Raw genomic sequence first — 20189 nt, 5'->3', positions numbered from 1 at the left:
AAATCACCTGGGATAATTTCATTAACTCTTAGAGTTATTTGGAGAGTAAAAGCCCTATCTAAAATTTAATATCATAAAAACAGACATAAAACATCTCAAATAAAAAAGAAACTTTTATTATTGCTTACATATTTTAAAGAGACAGACACTTTCTGAACAAGTTTAATGATAAAAATATTGAACTTTACTAAGAAGAGAAAAGGAAAAAAAATGTGGTTCAACAGGAAATTATGCATTGTTTACAGCACACCTTTCCAGATTATTCTTACTTTTCATTGCATTTGAGCTCTTTTACAACTCTGTAAATTGACAGTGATGCAAAATAATTATCTATACATGCAAATTTTGTCTAGTAGGTTCAATCGACTTCTCTCCCCTACTATGAAAGAAACCAATTTTGCCTCCATTTGCACATTCATTTCAATACTCCTGATCTATATTTGTGTCCGTTCTTTGGATTCTCCTTTGAAATGTCTATAACATCTTACCAGTTTCCTCATTCATAATGAGTTAAAGAAAATCTTCAACACATGTTTATTTTATATCTGTAGGAAGGTCATGATTAACCATTTCTTTAAATTATTACTTAACTAGGGATGCAAACTTGCCCCGTGAATTTAGAGACGACCGACAACTGCCCTGTACTTTCAGATTACAGCCACGTGTGGAAAACATCAGATGCAATCCCAGCTGCTTTCAGTACAGTCTTGGGAAAAGAGTAAAGAATTGCTTCCTCCCACAACCCAAACCTCTATCGCCCAAACCTCAATCTATATGGGACATCTCAAATGCAATACGAGCAAAACTGACCTAATCCCACACCTGCCCATTGACTTAATGAATAAAGGAATGAGGTGAAACACCTACAAAACCTGGGGCTTCTATTTATTCCCATCAGGGCCCATGCAGCCTGGCTCCAGCTTAAGCCAAGGCCCCTCCCTCTGAGTTCTAAATTAATCTTCCTCTTGGAGCTGGGTCTCCAGTATGCCCATTCACAATCCCACCCCTCACCTCCTCTGCCTTTTCCAGGAAATTCTTTGAGTTATTATTCTCAAAACTTAACATTCTATTGAGATGAGAGTCCATGATGGAGATCTGATAGCATTGAGGTACACAGAGATGTGCTGGAGCCAGTCACTTTTTCCAAAGCACCAGTCCTGGGACCTTGAAGGTATAACTGGGTCAAATCAAAGGGAGGCATTCAGACTCGCTGCCCGATGTGATCAAGTTCACTTATTATTCAGCATTTCTACAGCCCTCGACATTCATTTCTCAGCACCCTTTTCCCAGAGACACAAAGGGCAGCCATTTTGCAGTAAAATGACCCCCATTGTCAGGGGAAGCTGATTCACTATTCATCACGATTGCCCTCAATGAGAGCTGAGTGTGCCAGAGTTCTTGAATTCAGAGCCACCAGCCTGGAAGGAGCATCTCCAACTCAGCCAAGAAGAAATCGAGCCGAAGACACCGTTATCTGTCCACAAGCACCACTGACGCAGACTGAAGTGCTAGTTATAAATCATTCTTATCTACTTGTCAATGCTGGCTTTGGGAAACGCCCCGGGCATGCACGGTTAATCTACTTACAAGTACTTTTCAATTTTTGAAAAGAATTCAGACCTGGCAGAGCTACCCCGGCCAAAGCGAGACTGGGTGAGATTCTCCTAATCAATAGGCCCACCGCAAGAATGGAGAAATGGAGAAACCGAGTGGCCTGAAAACGGCCAGGCCATCCTGAGAAAAGCATCCCCGGCCTGAGAGGAGATGCCTGGGGAGTGAGGGGTGGACAGCTCTGAGCTACATGGGGCACTCCCAAGCCCCGAGTATTGTGTGCACAAACCCTGGGGCCTCAAAGCACATGGACGAAGCAGGAACACATGGCTGAGCAGAAATGCCATCCAGAAAGAATCTTGGACAGGTCTGAGACAGGCACACCTCCCCACACCTCTGGATAACCCCGTCCGTGTCCTACCCTAACAGCCACATCTCCGCTGCTCCACTTTGCCCACTGGCATGGTCTTTTTGGACATGGTTGGTTTGCTTTCCCTCAATCTACTGCAAGATCCCTGCAGGGCTGCAGAGACTTATTCAAACAGTAGGATCTAAATCTAGACCAACCCTCTTCACCGGGACAGGCTGAGAGAGGTGGTAGCCCGTGGCCAGCCAGGTTCACAAGTGGGAGGCGTGGCACTTGCTGCCAATGCCTGCAGATACCCTTGCCGGCCATGCACCCTGCTGCTGTGAGCTCTGGCTGCTCCTGGCTCTCAGCTTCCCCCATGTCCAGAGAAGCTGCCTTGCTTAGGAGTCACACATTTCCCCTGCCCCATGCGAGGGGCAGCCAGGGGCTAGTGAGTGGCTGACTGGGTCTACAAAAAGTGGTCCCATTGACCCAAGATAAGATCAACTGTGTGATGTTGTTGTGCTCCAGAGCACCCTGTGGGATCAGCCAAACCCAAGCAGAGACAACATCCCAACCCAACCTTCATCCCCAGCCTATCCTCCTTCCCTCCCTCAATTACTCACCTGCCCACAAATCAGGCTCACTAACCAGAGACAGTGGGTGACCCACAGAAGGAGGTCTGAGATTCCTTTTTCATTTCCACCTTCACAAGAGAGATGAGTTACTGCAGCAGCACCTCCTCTGGCTTCCCTGGCTTCCTGAGCCTGTCTGCACATACAGAGTTTTGTCCACTCTGAAGAGAGTTTTACTATCCCTGGAGTTCCCTGTCACTTAGAATTTGGAAACTCCTGGAAGGAGAAAACTGCTTTTACAATGCAAACTCACAATTCAGAGCTACTTCTCCTTCTAGAAGTAGGACAGTGTGGTATTGAGGGTCTGCATGTTATTTCAAAGCAACAGGAACCTCAGATGTACACCATTGAGGCTGCAATGGCTCACAAGAACATCACGAGCCTCTAGTTTCAGACACAGTTAGATAAACTCTAGTAGTCACAGCAGTTGTTGCAGTGTGACCTGAAGCCCCACTGGCAGTCATGTGGGTCTATGATGATTTTCAGTGGGAAAACGAAAAAATGAATGCTTTATTAATAAAGCTTTACTGGTCAACAGAATTTTCCAAGACATTGGCCATTTGGAAGAAACTAACAGAAGGAGGTATCAAAACCACCATGTTCTACCTGGTTAAACTGATCATCTCTGTTAGGCCCTTGGGGTTGGGCAGCCTGCAGGAAGACAGAAAAGACTCAGGACAACCGCAGATTGTGCTTCTCCCACTCCACAGACCATGGGGTCCCATACAGTCCAACGAGGGCCATAGAACTGAGGGGGCAGCTTCCCAGCCCTGGACTAGTGCCAAGGCTGCCCACAGGGCCCCTGGGTTGTGTCCAGGCAGTTTCCTCACCCATGCCTCCACTCCCCCTACTTCTCAAAGGCAAAGCCATCGAGGGGGACCTTTGAGATCCCTCAGGCTGGGAGCCAGGACCCTTGGGGTGAAAACAATGTGACAGGGTGGTGTGGATCAAATTGGTTACCTGCTAATATGACACACCTCTCTGGCCCTGCAGACATGCAATTGATGCGTGTCCAAGCTCCTCTGCCACACCCAGCTGAAGTGAATGGAGGAAGAAAGGGTCAGCCACCCTGGGGTCACCATCCTCTGATGGGCTAACAAATGTCCCGAAGAAGCACCCTCTTCTCCAACAGCACCCAGTGCCTCTTGTGTTCAGCTGGCCCCTTCCAGTTGCCCGTGCAGGTCCTCAGGTGAGCAGCGAGCCCTGTTCCCCATCTCCTAGCCCACCTGTGGGAGACAGCCTTGGGGGTGCCTGGAGAGGCTGCTGGCAGTGGGATCCCCAGTTGCAGGAGGTGGCACTAGAAAGGCAATGCACTATTTAGAAAACGCATCACCTGTTGCTTTTATCTGAGGGTACTGGGGCTGCTTCTCCTGTTGTGCTTCATACGGGCTTAGGCATCTCAAACACTGCACAAGGAGCATAAGAGAGGGATAGGGCTGTCTCCAGGCCTGGCCCAAGACACAGTAATTTTGGAAAGACTCATTCTTACTCTGTGTTGTTTTTTTTTTTTTTTTTTAAAATAAGCTTTTCTCAAAGAGCTCCAGTGATTGCATCACACTTCCTCCAGTGTAACTAACACTTTTCCCCACACTGTGATTCCCAACTGCATCCCAACCTTAGGAGTGGGTCCTCCCACGAATTTGGCAGGTGTGTGTGTGTGTGTGTGTGTGCATGCGCCCATGTGTGTGCTGGGTGAGGGATGGGAATAAAACTCCTTTTTTTGGGTGAAGTGGAGGGGAGAAGTGAAAGAGAAGGACAGGAGGAGGAGAAAGATCAATAGTAATACTGATGATCATTGTCGTCATTGTGGAAACAATCAGCCTCCAGAGGGCAGGAGGTGTGTCTTCGGTGTGTCTTGTCTGGCCATCCCCTTTGCATGCTGCAGAGACCCAACACCAGACCAGGGCGGGGACCAGGATGCCAGGGCACTGGCAACTGCTCCCTCCCCATGGTTAGGACTCTCTCTTGGTCTCTTGGCTGTGGGTTGCCAATGAGCCCTTTCAATCCAATAAATGTGACTGTGAAGTTCAAACCCAAGCATCCACTTTGCTTTAAAATCGAAGTTACACTTTAAATAGGTACCTCCATGTTGGAAAACTGTTTATTAGGATCTACTGCAGCCGAACATAGCATCCCCTCAGACCCTGCCATTCCACTCTGGAGTATACACCAGATCAAAATACATGCAAGTGATGGCGGAAAGGCATGAACAAGAATGTTCTGAGCTGCACAGCTCATTATAGATGAACAGTGGAAATCACACAAATGTCCATCAGTTCTCACAATAAAACTGTGAACGGCAACAATAATGAATAACCTACAACTAGACATGACGACACGGATGAATCTCACAAGCATAACATTCAGCAAGAAAACAGACACACAGATGACAAACGGCACAAGAACAGGCAGAGCTGCTCTCTGCTGTTAGAAGCTGGGACAGTGGTCACTCTTGTGGGGGGTGACTCGGAAGGACCATGTGCAGGTTTCAAGGGTGCAGATCCTGCTCTGTTTCTTAATTTGGCGGCTGCTGTCTAGTTAGTGAAAATTCATCAAGCTATATACACTTATGATAGATACCCTTTTCTGTACATATATTGAACTTTAAAAAAAGTTTTAAAAAAGTAACAAAATGAATCACATTCTCTCTGCACCAAAACCATCTTTGTCACTTCCTATTTGGGTTGAAAATAGAAAAGGCAGCAGGAAAATGTTACAGCCGCTCAGGCACCCGTAAAATCGACTGAAAGTAAAACCGACAGACGTGAAACTCAGGCCCAGGCTTAAATCAGAAGGCGAGGTGGAGGCTGCGAGGAAAAAGGGGGAGCAGGCTGGGATTTGATGAGAAGGAGGCCAAACCAAGAGCCCCTCATGAGAGCTGCATATCTCTCCTGCTCAATCTCCCTCTCACCAAGAGTGAATCTCAATCCAGCTGAATTCAGCCACAGGTCAATGCTCATGCTGTTGTCCATTCAATGACGACGCAGGAGAAGAGACAGGTCCTATGCATGGAGAGCAGGGGAAGGATCAGCTCAGAGCCCAGATTCCAGCCTGGCCCTGCTGGTGTTTGGTTGTCTCAGAGAGACTGGACCCAAGCTGTTCTGCAAGCTGGGTGGATGTTCTGCAAGCTGAGCTAGCACATGACGGGAACAGGTGCCGAACCCACAAAGCACAGATTCCCATGACTTGAAAGGGACGGCACACCAGGCCTTCTCAGAAGGTAATTCTCATGAAATCCCTTCTCAGGATGACTTACAGATGGCAAAGCAGGTGAAGATGGGCAGCTGAGGCAGGGGAACAGCAGATGGCCAGCCAGCTAACCAAATCCAGATGCACGACCCCGCCATCCACACCAGACACTGACCCCCGCCTGCAGGCCCAGGAGCACCAGGTGCTGAAATTCCTCCCAACTTCTCTTTCCATGGCAGAAGGAACTTCAGAAGGAAAGGAAAATGGATGAACATCTGCAGCTCCCGAAACCTAGAGGGTCTCTAAACTCAAAATGTGAAGAATCCTAATGAAACAGAGCTAATCAAATGTTTGTTGTGTTGCCATAATTTCTCATTGTCATCATTTCAGGCCAAGTGCTAAATAATGTAATGAATATCACATTTTAAAGTTCGTTGCAAGGCTTGGAAGTGTCCAGAGCTTAGGTAGTTCCTTGGAGAATAACAGCCCAGAAAAGAAGAGGGAAACTCTACCGAAAAATAGAGTGAGGTTTATAAACATGAGCCACCATCCCCAAGGGACACTCCCTCACTCCATCTCCACACTTGCATCCCTCTCTCTCTGTGGGTTTCTGCCACAGCTGTTGACCTTTCAATATGCCCTTGGTGCTCATGTTAAGTTTGTTTGTTTTTTGTTTGTTTTGTTTTGTTTTTGAGACAGGGTCTCACTTTGTCACCCAGGCTGGAGTGAAGTGGCGCAATCATAGTTTACTGCAGCCTCAAACGCCTGGGCTCAAATGATGCTGCCTCCTCAGCCTCCCCAGTGGCTGGGAATACAGGCATGCACCACCATGCCTGGCCAATTTTTGCATATTTTTTTTGCAGAGTTGCGGTCTTGCTATGTTGCCAAGGCTGGTCTCAAGCTCTTGGCCTCAAGCAATCCTCCCACCCCAGCCTTCCGAAGTACTAGGATTATAGGCATGAGCCACCATGACAAGCCTGCTTATTTTTTCTCTAAAACTAGTGTAGAGTGGAGGATAGAAGCATACTATGATATATGGGCCGGTCTATCAACCCCCTGGGAGGGACAGAAACTCCAAGCTTCTCTAGGAAGGCACTGCTGGCTTCCCCCTGAGCTGTCTTGTGGAATTAACCCATATCACTCACTATCAACACCCCTTGCACACTCCCACACTGCTCTTTAGGGGCACCTCACAGGTGGCATGAGAGTCTTTTGACTGTACATGCCCATTCTCCCTACTTGACTCTAGGTGCCTTCAAAGCAACGACTGTGTCCCATATGCTATTTAGACCCATATGTTACCAACAGAGCATGGCTCCCCAATAAAAGTTGGTTGAATTATATCAAATTAAATTATGAATAAATTCAAAAACAGAAAAGTTCGCCATGAGATAGAAGAAGTGGTCAGGACGTTGGAGTCAAATTAGGCCTTGAAATTTGTCTCATACATGAGCACTTCACAAGTGTTCAAAGAGTGAAACTATTTCTTTATTGGGTTTGTCACCCAGCGTTCATGCTGTTAAATGCATTTATGACCCATAGACACCTTGACCTTGAAGACTACAGACTGGCTCTTCATCTTCAAGGTAGGCTGGAGCAGAAATCTGGAGGCTCCAGGTGCAGGCTGCAGGGCTCAGTTGCACCTTGTAGGTAATGGAGAAACTGGGACATATGAATGGATGTTCTGCAGGGGATGCACCTGCCAGCATCTCAAAGCTACTGCAGGAAGCTCAGTCCATGTGATGCGCTGGAACAGTCAGGAGGAAGGGGTTGGGGTCTAGAGGGCCAGACAGGTAAGAAGCCAGAAGGTGCAAGTACAAGGTGTCAAGATCTGGACTTGAGGGGAGATGAGGTGACAGTCCAGATGAGGAGCCATGGGAGAGACGCTGTGAAGGAGCTAGTACAGAGACCCAGCTTCCCAGACGCTGCTCTGATGAAGACACAGGAATTCAGGAGACTCAGGTACTCAACCTAGGTGTGTAAATAGGAAGGGACCCTAGTGTAGGAGGTAAGTCCATGAGTTTTGCTTTAGATTAAGGCAGAGCACCTGAGTGAAAATAAATGTTTCTCCTTGCACCATACAGGGACCCAGAGCCGCAGCTGGTCCTTTGTACAAACTGGCGACAGCACCACCCTACCTCACCTTACTTCTGCACTAGGTAGGGGCATAGGCAGGGAAGATGAGTGGGTAGCACCTTCATGCACATTTGAAAAAGGCAGTTCTTGCTCCAAGCAGCTACAGCTCCAGGCCAGGGTCTCAGTCCCACTCAAACAAAAGCAGACATCCCATGCAGGGCATGCCTTGTGCCACCAAATTAAATGGCCCCGATAGAGCACTATTGAGCTTTAAAGGACAGTAGAGGATATAAGAAATGAGTCAAGTATCCTTGGGTAGAAAATAGCCGGAGTGGGCACATTAACTGCTCAGCAGCATTTAACTCAGTGTGTGTGAGTTTACAATGCAGAAACAATGCCAACAGCTTCTACACAGTCACACCGTATTCCAGGCCAGTGACAGCTAAGGCTGGAGGAAAAGAGAGAATTCATGACACCTTCTCCTGGGAGCAGATGATTATAAGGAGTGTGTGTGACCACAGGGCTGGAAATCAAAGCCCAGGGCCAACCATCAAAATAATCAGTACTGTGCAACAGAAATGATAGCCATTATCATAGGTGCTGTTCCTCTTCCCAGACCCTTTAGAAATACCTTCTGTTCACCTTCTTCTCATGGCCTCATTTCTTCAGAGCACACCAATGACATCACGGTGCTCCTGTGCACCTGCAGCTCTCTCTGAAGTCAGCAAAGCCACCATCCATGGGAGACTCTATAGTAGTAAGGAAGCTGGATCCCATCTCATAAGGAAAGGAAACCCATCCTCCTTTCTACCCCAAGAAGGTCTGCATTTTTCTCTCTCAATATTGCTAGGCTCTCAATAAAGTAGCCTGTGCTTCACTAGCATAGAAGGGTCTCAATCTTGGCATTTCATCTGAAGTGCAGTCATGCAAGGAGCAAACCATATGCTTGAGTGTGTGACCACGTGCAGAGGGCAAAATCACAGCACCTCCTGGCTGCCCTGTTTCACAGCAGTGCTTCTCAAACTTCTCTTTCACAGGCAATACATGCCAACTTCGTTAAGCAAACTTTCCTGGGTCTCATCCTCAGAGGCTCCCATTCAGCAGGTTGGGGAGGGGCCCATGACTCTGCATTTCTAACAAGCTCACAGGGGACCTGGGCGATGCTGATGCTGCTGTTCCAAGGCTCTCACTTTGAAAAACACGGGTTTATACTATTAGCAAAATTTATGACATGCAGAAGAAATCCGAGCTGTGCAATCTCAATGGCTCTGTGAAACCAAAAGAAAATAACATTTACAAAAGTAATTCTCATGAAATAAGAACGAATAATGATTCAGGGCATGCTCAGAGCAAAACCATATTACTCTGGCTATAAATTAGCCTTAGAAGGTAGCATCTTTCAGGAGGCTAGAGACTTAAAAGCAATAATCAAATTAGAGAGAAATTAGTGTTACCAATATAAAGACAATTTAGCATAAATGCTCCCATTCTATAGATAAAGAAACTGAGAACAGAAGAGAACATGCAGAAAGTTAATAGCTGAAGTGAGATTAGAACTCCTGTCTCTAGAGTCACTGTCCAGCACTCCTGTTCTAGGCAATGCCCTTCACTCTTGTGAGCCATGTCTCCTACCCCTGAATGATTTCATGACAGGAACTACAAAGATGCAGGAGCATCATGAAGTTATACCGTCCTTCATAGCAGAAAATAAAGATCAGTCCTGCACAATATCAACATAAAATATTTCATTCCTGGTGTCTTCTAAAATAAACCTTCACTGTGTGCTGACACTCAGAACATTAATCAGAAAAGTGCATGCACAGGCAAGTATATTTCTTGTCTCCCCTTCCTCCTCCCCTCCTTCCTACTCTACTTTCCAATGACTTAGAAAAGTTTGGAAAACAAACCCCAAGGTGAAAGAGCCATCACGGGACACTTATGGTACCCCAGAAGCCTGCAGGGGTATCCCTTCCCATGTAGGACAAGATGCGTCCATGTATGGTTTCCTTGGCTCAAGATGCAAGGGTGATGTTCTTGCCATCTTAGGCAAAACAACTATCCTAAACTGCCTGGAGCGGACATCCTTCTCCTCCCAGGCTTGGAACTGCTGTGTGCACTTCCGTTAACGCTGCTGGCTTGTACAACCACGGGGAGCCTGGGGAGAGACCCTCCCCACCCCGGACTGCTCATCGCTCTTGCGAAACTCAGTTGACAGTTAAAATTTTGTTTTTCCTTCTTGCTTTGTTATCAGAGGAACAGTCAGTATGTAGAAAAACCGAAGCAACTGTCAAGAAGAGAAGATAAGAAAAACAAGATATCTGTTTAAAAAGTAAAGGTCATGATGTGACGCAGTTAAAGGAGATAATTTAGTCTGATACTAATAACGCTCTTGGGGGTTGATTCAGTTTCCAAGTCGATTCATTTTCCAAATTGGTAGCTCCTCCTTTGCCATCATTGTCCCGTTCATACTACGCTTTTGCCTACACTTGTCATAGAGGTTCTGGGCATTTCTGATGAGGAATGAGTTTCCATAGAAGAAGCACAAGCTGACGTTGAAGAGGCAAGGTGAGGACACCTGATGCCAGGTGAGAATTCCCTCTAAATAGATTTAGACAAAAATTATAAAAGCATGCAACAAGCCTAAAGGCAGATAGCTTAGCCAACAGAGTTCTCTATCAATATGCAAAAGCTCTCTAACTCCAGAGTCCTCGTCAGTGGCTTTCCCAGCTAGTGCAGGCTACTGGACTACTACGGTGATGCCTGGAGAGCTAACATGATTGACAGCAGACTCATGCACAAAGGTGTTCAGTTAACAGTATTCAAATATCTCAAATAAACTATAATATTTTAAATAACCAACAATAAATAAGTATGACCTATACAGTCAACAGAATGCCAACCAGACTGAGATAATTATTAAAAAATTCAGTGACCTTTATTTCAAATATGTTGTCACAAAAGTGCAACATGAAACATTCTATTTAAAAGTCAAAAATACAACATACAACATTGCATTTATTTTGTGATAACCATCTCTCTTATTTTATTCATAAAAATATTCATAAAATAAAGAGAGCTGATCATCACAAAATAAATAGAATGTCACATGTTGCATGTTTGATCCTTAAATGGAAATATTTACTACCTACATGAATAATATTTACACATATGACCAAACACTGAACACTGAAAATAAATATTTTGATTGTCAAGGGTAGATAATTTTAACTCAATTTCTTCTATTTCTATTATTACTTATATAATCTACAGTATTCCACCACAAGATAAAAGTTAGCTTCCATTTAGTTGGTACAATGTCACCTGGGAAAAAAATTAATCATCCAATAAATACTTTAGCCTCTCCTCCACATGAGGCACTGGGCATACAGCCATGAATGCACCAAACCAAGTTTCTGCTCTTAGGGAGCTGACATTCTAGCTAGGGGAGGGTGACAACAATAAAATGAGCTAATAAATATATAATCAAGTGATAACATGTTACATGTTAATGTAAATTTCCATGTGGTGGGTGTGCACACACAGCCAATCACTCCAGGACTTCCTGTTCCTGCTCTGCAGAGAGTTAGACCATGGCCAATATTCGATACACTGGGTGCGTGCGTTTCCTATTGCTGCTGTAATAAATTACCACAAACTTACTGGCTTTCAACAGCCCCATACAGTTCTGGAAGTCAGAATCCTACAGAAGTCTTGCTGGGCTAAATTTAATGTGTCAGCAGGACTGCATTCCTACTGGAAGCTCTTGGGAAGAATCTGCAGCCTTGCCTTGTCCAGCTCCTGGAGGCACCCCCCATTCCTTGGCTCACGGCCTCTTCCATCTTCAAGCCAGTAATGACATCATTCTGACCTCGGCTTCTGTTGGCACATCACCTTCTCTGGCTGACTCTCCTGCCTCCCTGTTTTACAAGAACCATGTGATTGCACGGAGCCCACCCTGATAATCCAGGATCATCTCACTATTCCAAGGTCAGCTAACTTGCAACCTGAATTCCATCAGCAACTTGAACTCCTCCTTGCCACGTAACATAACAAACCCACAGATTTCAAGGATTCGGACGTAAACATCTTCGGGAGCACTATTCTGCAAACCACACTGGGGTAGCTCCTTGTCTAACTTCCTGGCAGAAATATCCAGAAATGTCTTTCTTCAGAGATGTTTGGCATGGGGAAAATAGTGTAAGAGTGTTTTCACAGAAAGTATAAGTTCAAAACTGCCCTGTCTACCTGTTTTTTACCTTGGGAAAGTTACTTTAATTTAAATGAGGATAATAATACCTAATCCATGGTTCTGCAGAGATAATTACGTGGGGTAAACCATAGAAACAGGTGTAAGCCTAAAAAATACTAAGACAGAGTAGTTAATATCGGATAGCTTTAGTTGTTCCCAAATCCCAATTTCTTTTTCTTTGTAACAAACTAAAAATTTCAAGCTAAAATCTGAACAGGCATTCTGGGATGCATGGTCATTAGCCTAGCATTAGGACCCAATGACCCTTCAATGGGTCATTCCCACTGAAGGAAATACAGAGATGCATAAAAGAAGCTGAGTGTGGATGAATGCCTAACACACAAGAAGGGATTGTGACATGCGGACTGTGGAAGGGCACATGGGTCCCCAGGTGTGAATCCCATCTCAGAAACATGAGGCATTTGTTGCTGAAAGGAACTGTTGTAAAGGGCACCCCCCCCATCAATATGTCTTTCTATACCCATCCATTCCCCCCCATCAATATGTCTTTCTATACCCATCCATTCAGAGACCCCAGTTCCCGGAAATGCAACTCAACTAGGCAAAGAAGCAAAAGGAGGGTGGTATGGAGCCTTCTGGAGATTAATAGAAAAGAGGTGCGATGGAAAGAGCCACAGGAGGGATCAAACCAGGGTGGCAGATTTTCACACACTGTCTCTAGATATAAGAACTAGGAAGAACTATCACTGATCAAAATTATAATGAATAAGGTTCCACCTCAGTATTCTAACTACAAGGTAGAAGGAGCAGGAGATCCCCTCTCAGGCAAGCTGAGTCACCCTAGAAAAGTCAACATCAACACTGGAAGGTTGGCCAGGGACCATGCACAACAACCACCCCTTCAGCATAAGCGATGCTCACAGTAACCTGACAATTGTGACCAGGTGAGAGTGGTGAGGGCGCTGAAGGGACAGGAGGGTCTGTTCACAGGCACACCCCCGGCCTGGACCTTCTCTTTCAAGGTTGATAACTCAAGACAATTTTGAAAATTCTCTGCAACATCTGAAGTAAAACACTATTCTTCTAAAAAAAAAAAAAATCTATTATGGGAAGAAGATGTAAATTTTGGAATCCATTTTTTTTAATCTCAATATCAAATAAACATAGGATATATGAAAGAAAAATCACTAAATGGAAAAGGCTAAGATTACAAGGGGAGTCAGCTAAGATGGAGATGACAAGACATAAAATGGTTAAAAAACCAGAAATGCAAACACAAAACATAAATGGGAATAAGAGGCAGCAGACAGCAGACCCAATAGTGCTGAAAATCAAATTACCAAGGGGAAAAAAACATAGGCTCTTACAGAATGAAGAGGAAAAGACAAAAAGATGAAGACACAGCCAAATAACTATCCAAATTACAAACAGTTCATGTTCCAAGGGAAACAACCAAAACCAACAAGAAGCCACAATTAAAGGTCATATTCTCCAGGCAAAACGAAATAAAATTAGAACTTGGTATATATACATATATATATATACACACACACACTCCAACAACTTAGAAGTTAAAATTCAGTCTCTCAAATAATTAATTGCAGAAAAAATAAAAACTATAATTACAAGACTATTTGAAAAGTACCAATAATGACTGCATGACATTTCAAAACTTATAGTTTGAGTCTAAAGCTACACTAAACATCAAATGCATTATAAAGCAAGAAATAATAAAAAGGAAATAAAGCATTTCATTCAAGATATTTGAAAATAAACACAGGAATTAAGAGGAGATTTTGAATAAATATTAAAGCTTTACTGACTCAGGGAAAAGGGAAAAGAGAAAAATTAATGAAGAAATACAAGATACAAATTTTCACAAATTGATAAAATACACCAAATACAGTCAGATTTTATCAATGAAAAAAATAAACATATACGTTAGTACTGAGAAAAGTTTATATGATCTCAATTACAGAACAAATTAAAACAAAAAAAGTACTTCATAATTTTGTTCATTTCTAAAATATTAATGAAATTAACACTTCTCTAGGAAAACATAAATTACCCACACAGAAAAGTATCAATGAAAGAAATTAAAGTTTGTTCAAAATTATCTTCATAGAAGACTGTAAGGCAGGCAGCACTATAAGTGCTTTTGTCAAATTTTCAATATACAAATAATTTCCATGCTTCATAAAATATTCCAGAACATAGAGGAACATAGAAATTATCAATTCATTTGTAAAGTTAGTGTGATCCTGACACCAAAACCTGGCAAAGGAGCTATATGTCTATTTCTTTCATAAATATATAGGCAAAAATTTCATAGAAAATGCAAATAAATAAAATCCAGCATCATATTAAAAATATATGTCATGCCTTTGTAAGATTCACTTTCAGAAGTGCTTTAGTAAGGATATTTTTTTCTATATATATTGTTATATTAAACACTTTAATAAGTGTTAATAAGGCATTTGATCACATTCAACATCCATGGCTAATTTTTTTTTTTTTGAGACGGAGTCTAGCTCTGTCACCCAGGCTGGAGTGCAGTGGCGTGATCTCAGCTCACTGCAAGCTCCGCCTCCTGGGTTCACGCCATTTTCCTGCCTCAGTCTCCCGAGTAGCTGAGACTACAGGCGCCCACCACCACGCCCACGCCCGGCTAATTTTTTGTATTTTTAGTAGAGACAAGGTTTCACAGTGTTAGCCAGGATGGTCTTGATCTCCTGACCTCGTGATCCGCCCACCTCAGCCTCCGAAAGTGCTGGGATTACAGGCGTGAGCCACCGCGCCCGGCCCTGATTTTTTTCTAATATAGAAAACCACAAATGAAAGGAAACTTCCACAGCATAATGAAAAGTAACCAGTGTCACTAATAGCCAAGGGGATCCATACCCCAATGGACAGCACATAGTCTTCCAACAGTAAAAAAACTCCTCAGCTACAGAATGAACCTAAAGATATTGATTCATAGAATAAGTTTATTTTCAGTATTGTATAATTTCACATTTTTAAGAATAAAATATAAAGAAGCAATATTTTAAAAGACTATTAAGGGATGAAACAAGAGCAACAACAAATAATAAATACCAGAGTAACCTTCACCAGTAAATGTAAGGAAGAAATAGAGAAATAATCATGAATCTTGACAAATTTTTTAAAAGCCTTTATCAAATGAAGAAACACACTATGAACAAAAAGAATCAACATTATAAAATGCCATTTTTCCATAAATTATTTATAGATTTATCAAAACCTAGAAGGATTTGGAGAAAATGTAAAGGATTATAAATTCATCTGGAAAGATAAATGAGTGATAACAATAAATAAATAGTTTTTTCAAAAAACAGGAAAGGTGTCTTGACCTACCAGATAATTAACATGCTAATAAGTTACAATTAATTAATGAGTAAATATAACAAAATAAATATCATAAAATATTTGCCTCTGGTACATAAGAGAATAGGCATGGAATAAAGGTGATACCACAAATGTGGAGGTAGAGGAAACAGTAGTCAATAAACAATTCTGGAATTAACTATTAAATATGTTAATCTGTTTAAATTAAATTTTAATCTTATGCTAAAATAAATTCCAAATGAAGTAAAGAGTTAAATTTTTTAAAAAGTAAACCATACAAATGGTGAATAAATACGTTGACTAAGAGCCTGAATCTAAGAATAGGCGGATGAAAAAATAAAGGGAAAGAGATACGGCGTGGGCCAGATGTCATGAGAATCCTCTATGCCAAAAAAAAAAAAGAATGAACAAGACTTTTGAAATACGGCAAAGTAAAACAAAATATATAAAAGCTCTTACAAAACATTAAGAAAAAACACTATTAACTCATTAGAAGAAAATGAAGACTGGATATGAGCAAACCCTTCTCACAAGAAAATAAATATAAAAGTTCAACAAACGTGTAAAACGTTGAACCTGCTCGGTAAAGAAGGAAGGCAAACTAAACCAACGGGACACCATCTTTCTACAATCAAATTGAATTAAAAATATATAAAAATAATTCAGGCAACAGAACATCGAATTGAGCTCTCTCAAACACTGCTGTTGGGATTTCAAATTTGTTCCAATTCCTGGAAAGTTACATGATAGTACGTGTGAGCCTTTACGATGGGCATGCCTTTTGATGCTGAAATACCACCTTTAGAAATCCAACCTAAAGAAACCGGCAGAGATTGTCAAAGACTTCTGACAAGAACAGTCATCAAAGTGAAGGCATGGAAAATCTCAAAATATGGATCTCAAATGGAACCCTGAATAAATAAGTTATGACATAATCAAAGGATACGATGTAATAGTTAAGACCACAGGATGTGGAATCAGACTGCCTGGATTCAAATTCTACTTGACCACATAGAAACTTTGTGACCTTGAGCAAGTTATTTAAACTGTTTGTCTTATTTTTCTTCGCATGTAAATTGGAGATAATAATGGTATCTACTCTATAGAGTTATTGTGGAGATTAAAGGAGTCAGTACAAGTAAAGCACTTAGAACAGTCCTCGGCCACACTAAATGCCCAATAAACATTACATGCTGTAACATGAAGAAAAATACTGTGATTATTATTACTATTAAGCAGACATTAAAACTAGTTTTTAAGATTAATTCCATGGAGGGATGCCCATGATAAGTTAAAAAGCATGACCCACCAATTGTACATAGTTTCTTCCAGAAACTGTGAGGAAGCATCTCCTAAATCATTTTATGGTGCCAGTATTACCCTGGTAGCAAAACCAGACAGTGATAGTACCAAATGAAGAAAATTACAGGTCCGTATCTTGTGTGATCCTAGACACAAAAGCCCTCAACCGAATATGATCAATCAAATCCAGGAAATACAAAATGAAAAACACACCATGATCAAGTGGGTCTTATACAGGGTATGCAAGGCTGATTCCGTATTTGAAAATCAATCCATGCAATCCACCATATTAACTGTCTAAAGAATTAAAACCACCTCAGCATATCAATTGATACATGAAAAACATCTGATAAACCAATATCCACCCTTGATAAAAACTCTCAGAAAACTAAGGCGAAAAAGGAAATTACTCAATTTGATAAAGGCAATCTATGAAAAACCTACAGCAAATAGCATACTTAACAGGGAAGGACTAAACGTTTTCCCCCTAATATCAGGGACACAAGACAAGGATGTCCATTCAAACTCAATATTGTACTAAAAGTCTTAGCCACTGTAATAAGTCAAGAAAAAGGAATTACAAACCCTGGATCTGAGTGTTTTTAGCAACTCTGTTCATAAATTAACAAAACTAAAAACAACTCAAATGTTCTTCAACATTAAATGGACAGACAAACTATTGTACATCTGTATAGTGGAATACTACTCAGCCATAAAAAGGAATGAACTACTGATGTGCAAAACAACTTAGATGAAGCTGAGAAGCATTGTACTGAGTGAAAAAAGCCTGTTTCAAAAGATTATAAACTATAGAACTCCATCTATGACGTTCTCAAAAAGACAAAACTATAGTAACAGAAAACACATCAGGGTTCAGAGATGGAAGAAGGGTATGAATATAAAGGGGTAGCTTGAGGGGGGTTTTTGGGGTGATATATTGTTCTGCACCCTGTCAAGTTTAGGGGTTTTTTATTTTAAAAGCAGGATCTAAAACATTATATGTAGTATGATATCAATTTAACATATGTAAGGGAAGAAATATTCCACAATGCTTGGAAAATACCGGAATTGACCTGTTCTCATGCCCAGATTTACTTAAAGTAGGTACAATGACTTTCTTCCTGCACATGGCCCAACAAACACCTGTGATTTCAAACAACCAAACTGTGGAATGCCATTCAAGAGGTCCTTCATATCACGTTTACAAAGCCTGGGTTCTTAAGGTCCTAGGAATATTTTATTTCTTTGGAAGTATCTTCAAATCACAACCCAGAATTCCAACAAGAAGGATGAAAAAAGTTGAAAACTCGTAAGCTCAAAGACCCCTAACAAAATGAATTAATGGCCACTCATTTTCAAAACGGTCAATCATCCTAATGGTTATATGAGGTTACAACCCAGGTAGAAGGTGGTGAACCAACAATGCAAACTCTCTTCTAAAGCAACCTAGGAGCATTCCAACAGCCAGTGTTTCTGATTAAACAAATCTCTTTTTTGTCACAAGAAGTGGCTCACCCTGAAAATTCCTAATTTTTCCCATGTACTAACTACACTAAATGCCAAAAAATTCCCAGAAAGATTCCAGCATTTCAGAAGAATTTCAGAATTTGAAAAAATTTTACCAAGAGTTAATTTGCATTAAATATTTTTATAACCTTAACTTTCTGGCATTTTTTAAAGAATTTACTAAGCAAAGAATCAGAAAGCCTGGGTTCCAGCCCCAATTCCAATTTCCTTTGACATTAGTTTCCTCAAAAGTAAAACAGGATGTTAAGATTCAATGGTCCCCAAGAGTTTCTCCATCTCTGATACTCTAGGAAACAGATAATGGTGAAAGTAATATTGCAAGGGCCATGGCTAAGCTGCTTGAATGAACAAACTACTCAAATAAGCTATTTTCATGGAGCATTCATTCAGAAATATTGTGCAAATGACAGAAAAAAAATCATTATCAAAGAAATTGTTAACAAGCCATGCATGGCCTTTATCCAGCACGTAGTTCAGGTTACCATACCTGACAGTAATAAAAGTGCATCCATGGAGAAAACCCTTCATGGTTCAATTTTACTAATGTAGACTGACCTGCCCCAAATTGCAAGAAATCCTTTGTGTAGAGTGCAAAATTATTGGGGGTAGAATTTCCTTAATTCTTGACGTTATACTTTTTAATTGACTTTTTTGGGAATAGGTGACATAAATTACTGGACTACTCCTTTTGTACTAAAAGACACATGGGTGTGCAGCATAAGGGATCCTTGTGGTGTTGGATCTGTACAGTATCTTGAATGTGATAATGAATACACAAACCTACACAGGTGATAAAACTGTGTGTAACTCAATACTCTCACACACACACACACACACACACACACTCACACACTCACACCACATGGGTACAGTAGTCCTCATTTATCCTCAGTTTCACTTTCTGCTGTTTCAGTTACCTGCAGTCGACCATAGTCCAAAAATATTAAATGGAAAAACCCAGAAGTAAGCAATACCTAAGTTCTAAATTGCCACTATTCTGAGTAATGTGATAAAATCTCAAGTTGTCATGCTCTGTCCCGCCTGGGACATAAATCATCCCTTTGTCCAGCTGATCCATTCTGCAGTCACTTAGTCACTCAGTAGCCAGCTCGGTTATCAGATCGACTGTCATGGTGTGGCAGTGCCTGGGTTCAAGGTGAACAGTAGCCTAACGCTATGTCACAGGCCTACGTCATGCACCTGACTTCATCTCCTTACGTAGGCCCTGTATCATCTCACATCATCACCAGAAGGGTGAGCACAGTACAAGAAGATATTTTGAGAGAGAAGGAGCGACCACATTCTCATAACCTTTCTTAGAGTATATTACGATTGTTCTATTTTATTGTTAGTTATTGTTAATCTCTTACTGTGCCTAATTTCTAAATTAAACTTTATCATGGTTATATAGGTATAGGAAAAAACACAGTGTATGTAGCATTCAGTACTATCCATGGTTTCGGGCATTCACTGGGAGGTCTTGAAACATATCCTCCATGGATACTGAGGGACTACCATACAAATAACACTGGAAAAATCTGAATAAAGTTCGTGGATTGTATCAATGTTATTACCCTGGTTATGATATTATACTATAGTTTTGCAAAATGTAAAGGAAATGGGAAAATGTGTAAGAGATGTCTCTGTATTACTTCTCCCCCACCGCACCACCCCGAGACAGAGCTTGGCTCTTGTTGCCCAGGCTGGAGTGCAATGGTGCAATCTCAGCTCACTGCAACCTCCACATCCTGGGTTCAAATGATTCTCCTGCTTCAGCCTCCTGAGTAGCTGGGATTACAGGCATGCGCCACTTCACCCAGTTAATTTTGTATTTTTAGTAGAGACAGGGTTTCACCAGGTTGGACAGGCTGATCTCGAACTCCTGACCTCAGATGATCCGCCCACCTCGGCCTCCCAAAGTGCTGGGATTACAGGCATGAGCCACTGTGCCTGGCCCTCTGTATTACTTCTTATGACTGTGTGTGAA

The 20189-nt window shown here is 41.9% G+C and overlaps 1 protein-coding gene and 2 long non-coding RNA genes across 4 annotated transcripts in view; 1 reads left to right on the top strand and 2 right to left on the bottom strand.

The window, feature by feature from the left end:
* Positions 1-867, top strand: part of SLC24A3-AS1 (SLC24A3 antisense RNA 1) — a 42295-nt gene extending 41428 nt beyond the window's left edge. The window contains exon 8 of the long non-coding RNA NR_024564.1: positions 595-867. This is a non-coding gene — a long non-coding RNA (SLC24A3 antisense RNA 1). The remainder of the gene's footprint in view (positions 1-594) is intronic.
* The window catches only part of SLC24A3 (solute carrier family 24 member 3), a 510285-nt gene that overhangs the window by 479758 nt on the left and 10338 nt on the right, over positions 1-20189 (bottom strand). The window lies entirely within an intron of this gene.
* On the bottom strand, positions 96-19926 carry LOC124904879 (uncharacterized). 2 transcript variants are annotated; one of them, XR_007067552.1, is made up of 2 exons: positions 16173-19926; positions 96-9065 (listed from the first exon to the last, which is right to left on the bottom strand). It is a non-coding gene; the product is annotated as an uncharacterized LOC124904879 (long non-coding RNA). The 2 variants fall into 2 exon arrangements; XR_007067551.1 differs by lacking the exon at positions 16173-19926 and adding an exon at positions 9705-9910.

This window comes from Homo sapiens, chromosome 20 (assembly GCF_000001405.40).
Source record: "Homo sapiens chromosome 20, GRCh38.p14 Primary Assembly".
NCBI lineage: Eukaryota > Metazoa > Chordata > Mammalia > Primates > Hominidae > Homo > Homo sapiens.
Note: the sequence above shows the minus strand (reverse complement) of the source record. Positions and strands in the feature narration are given on the sequence as shown.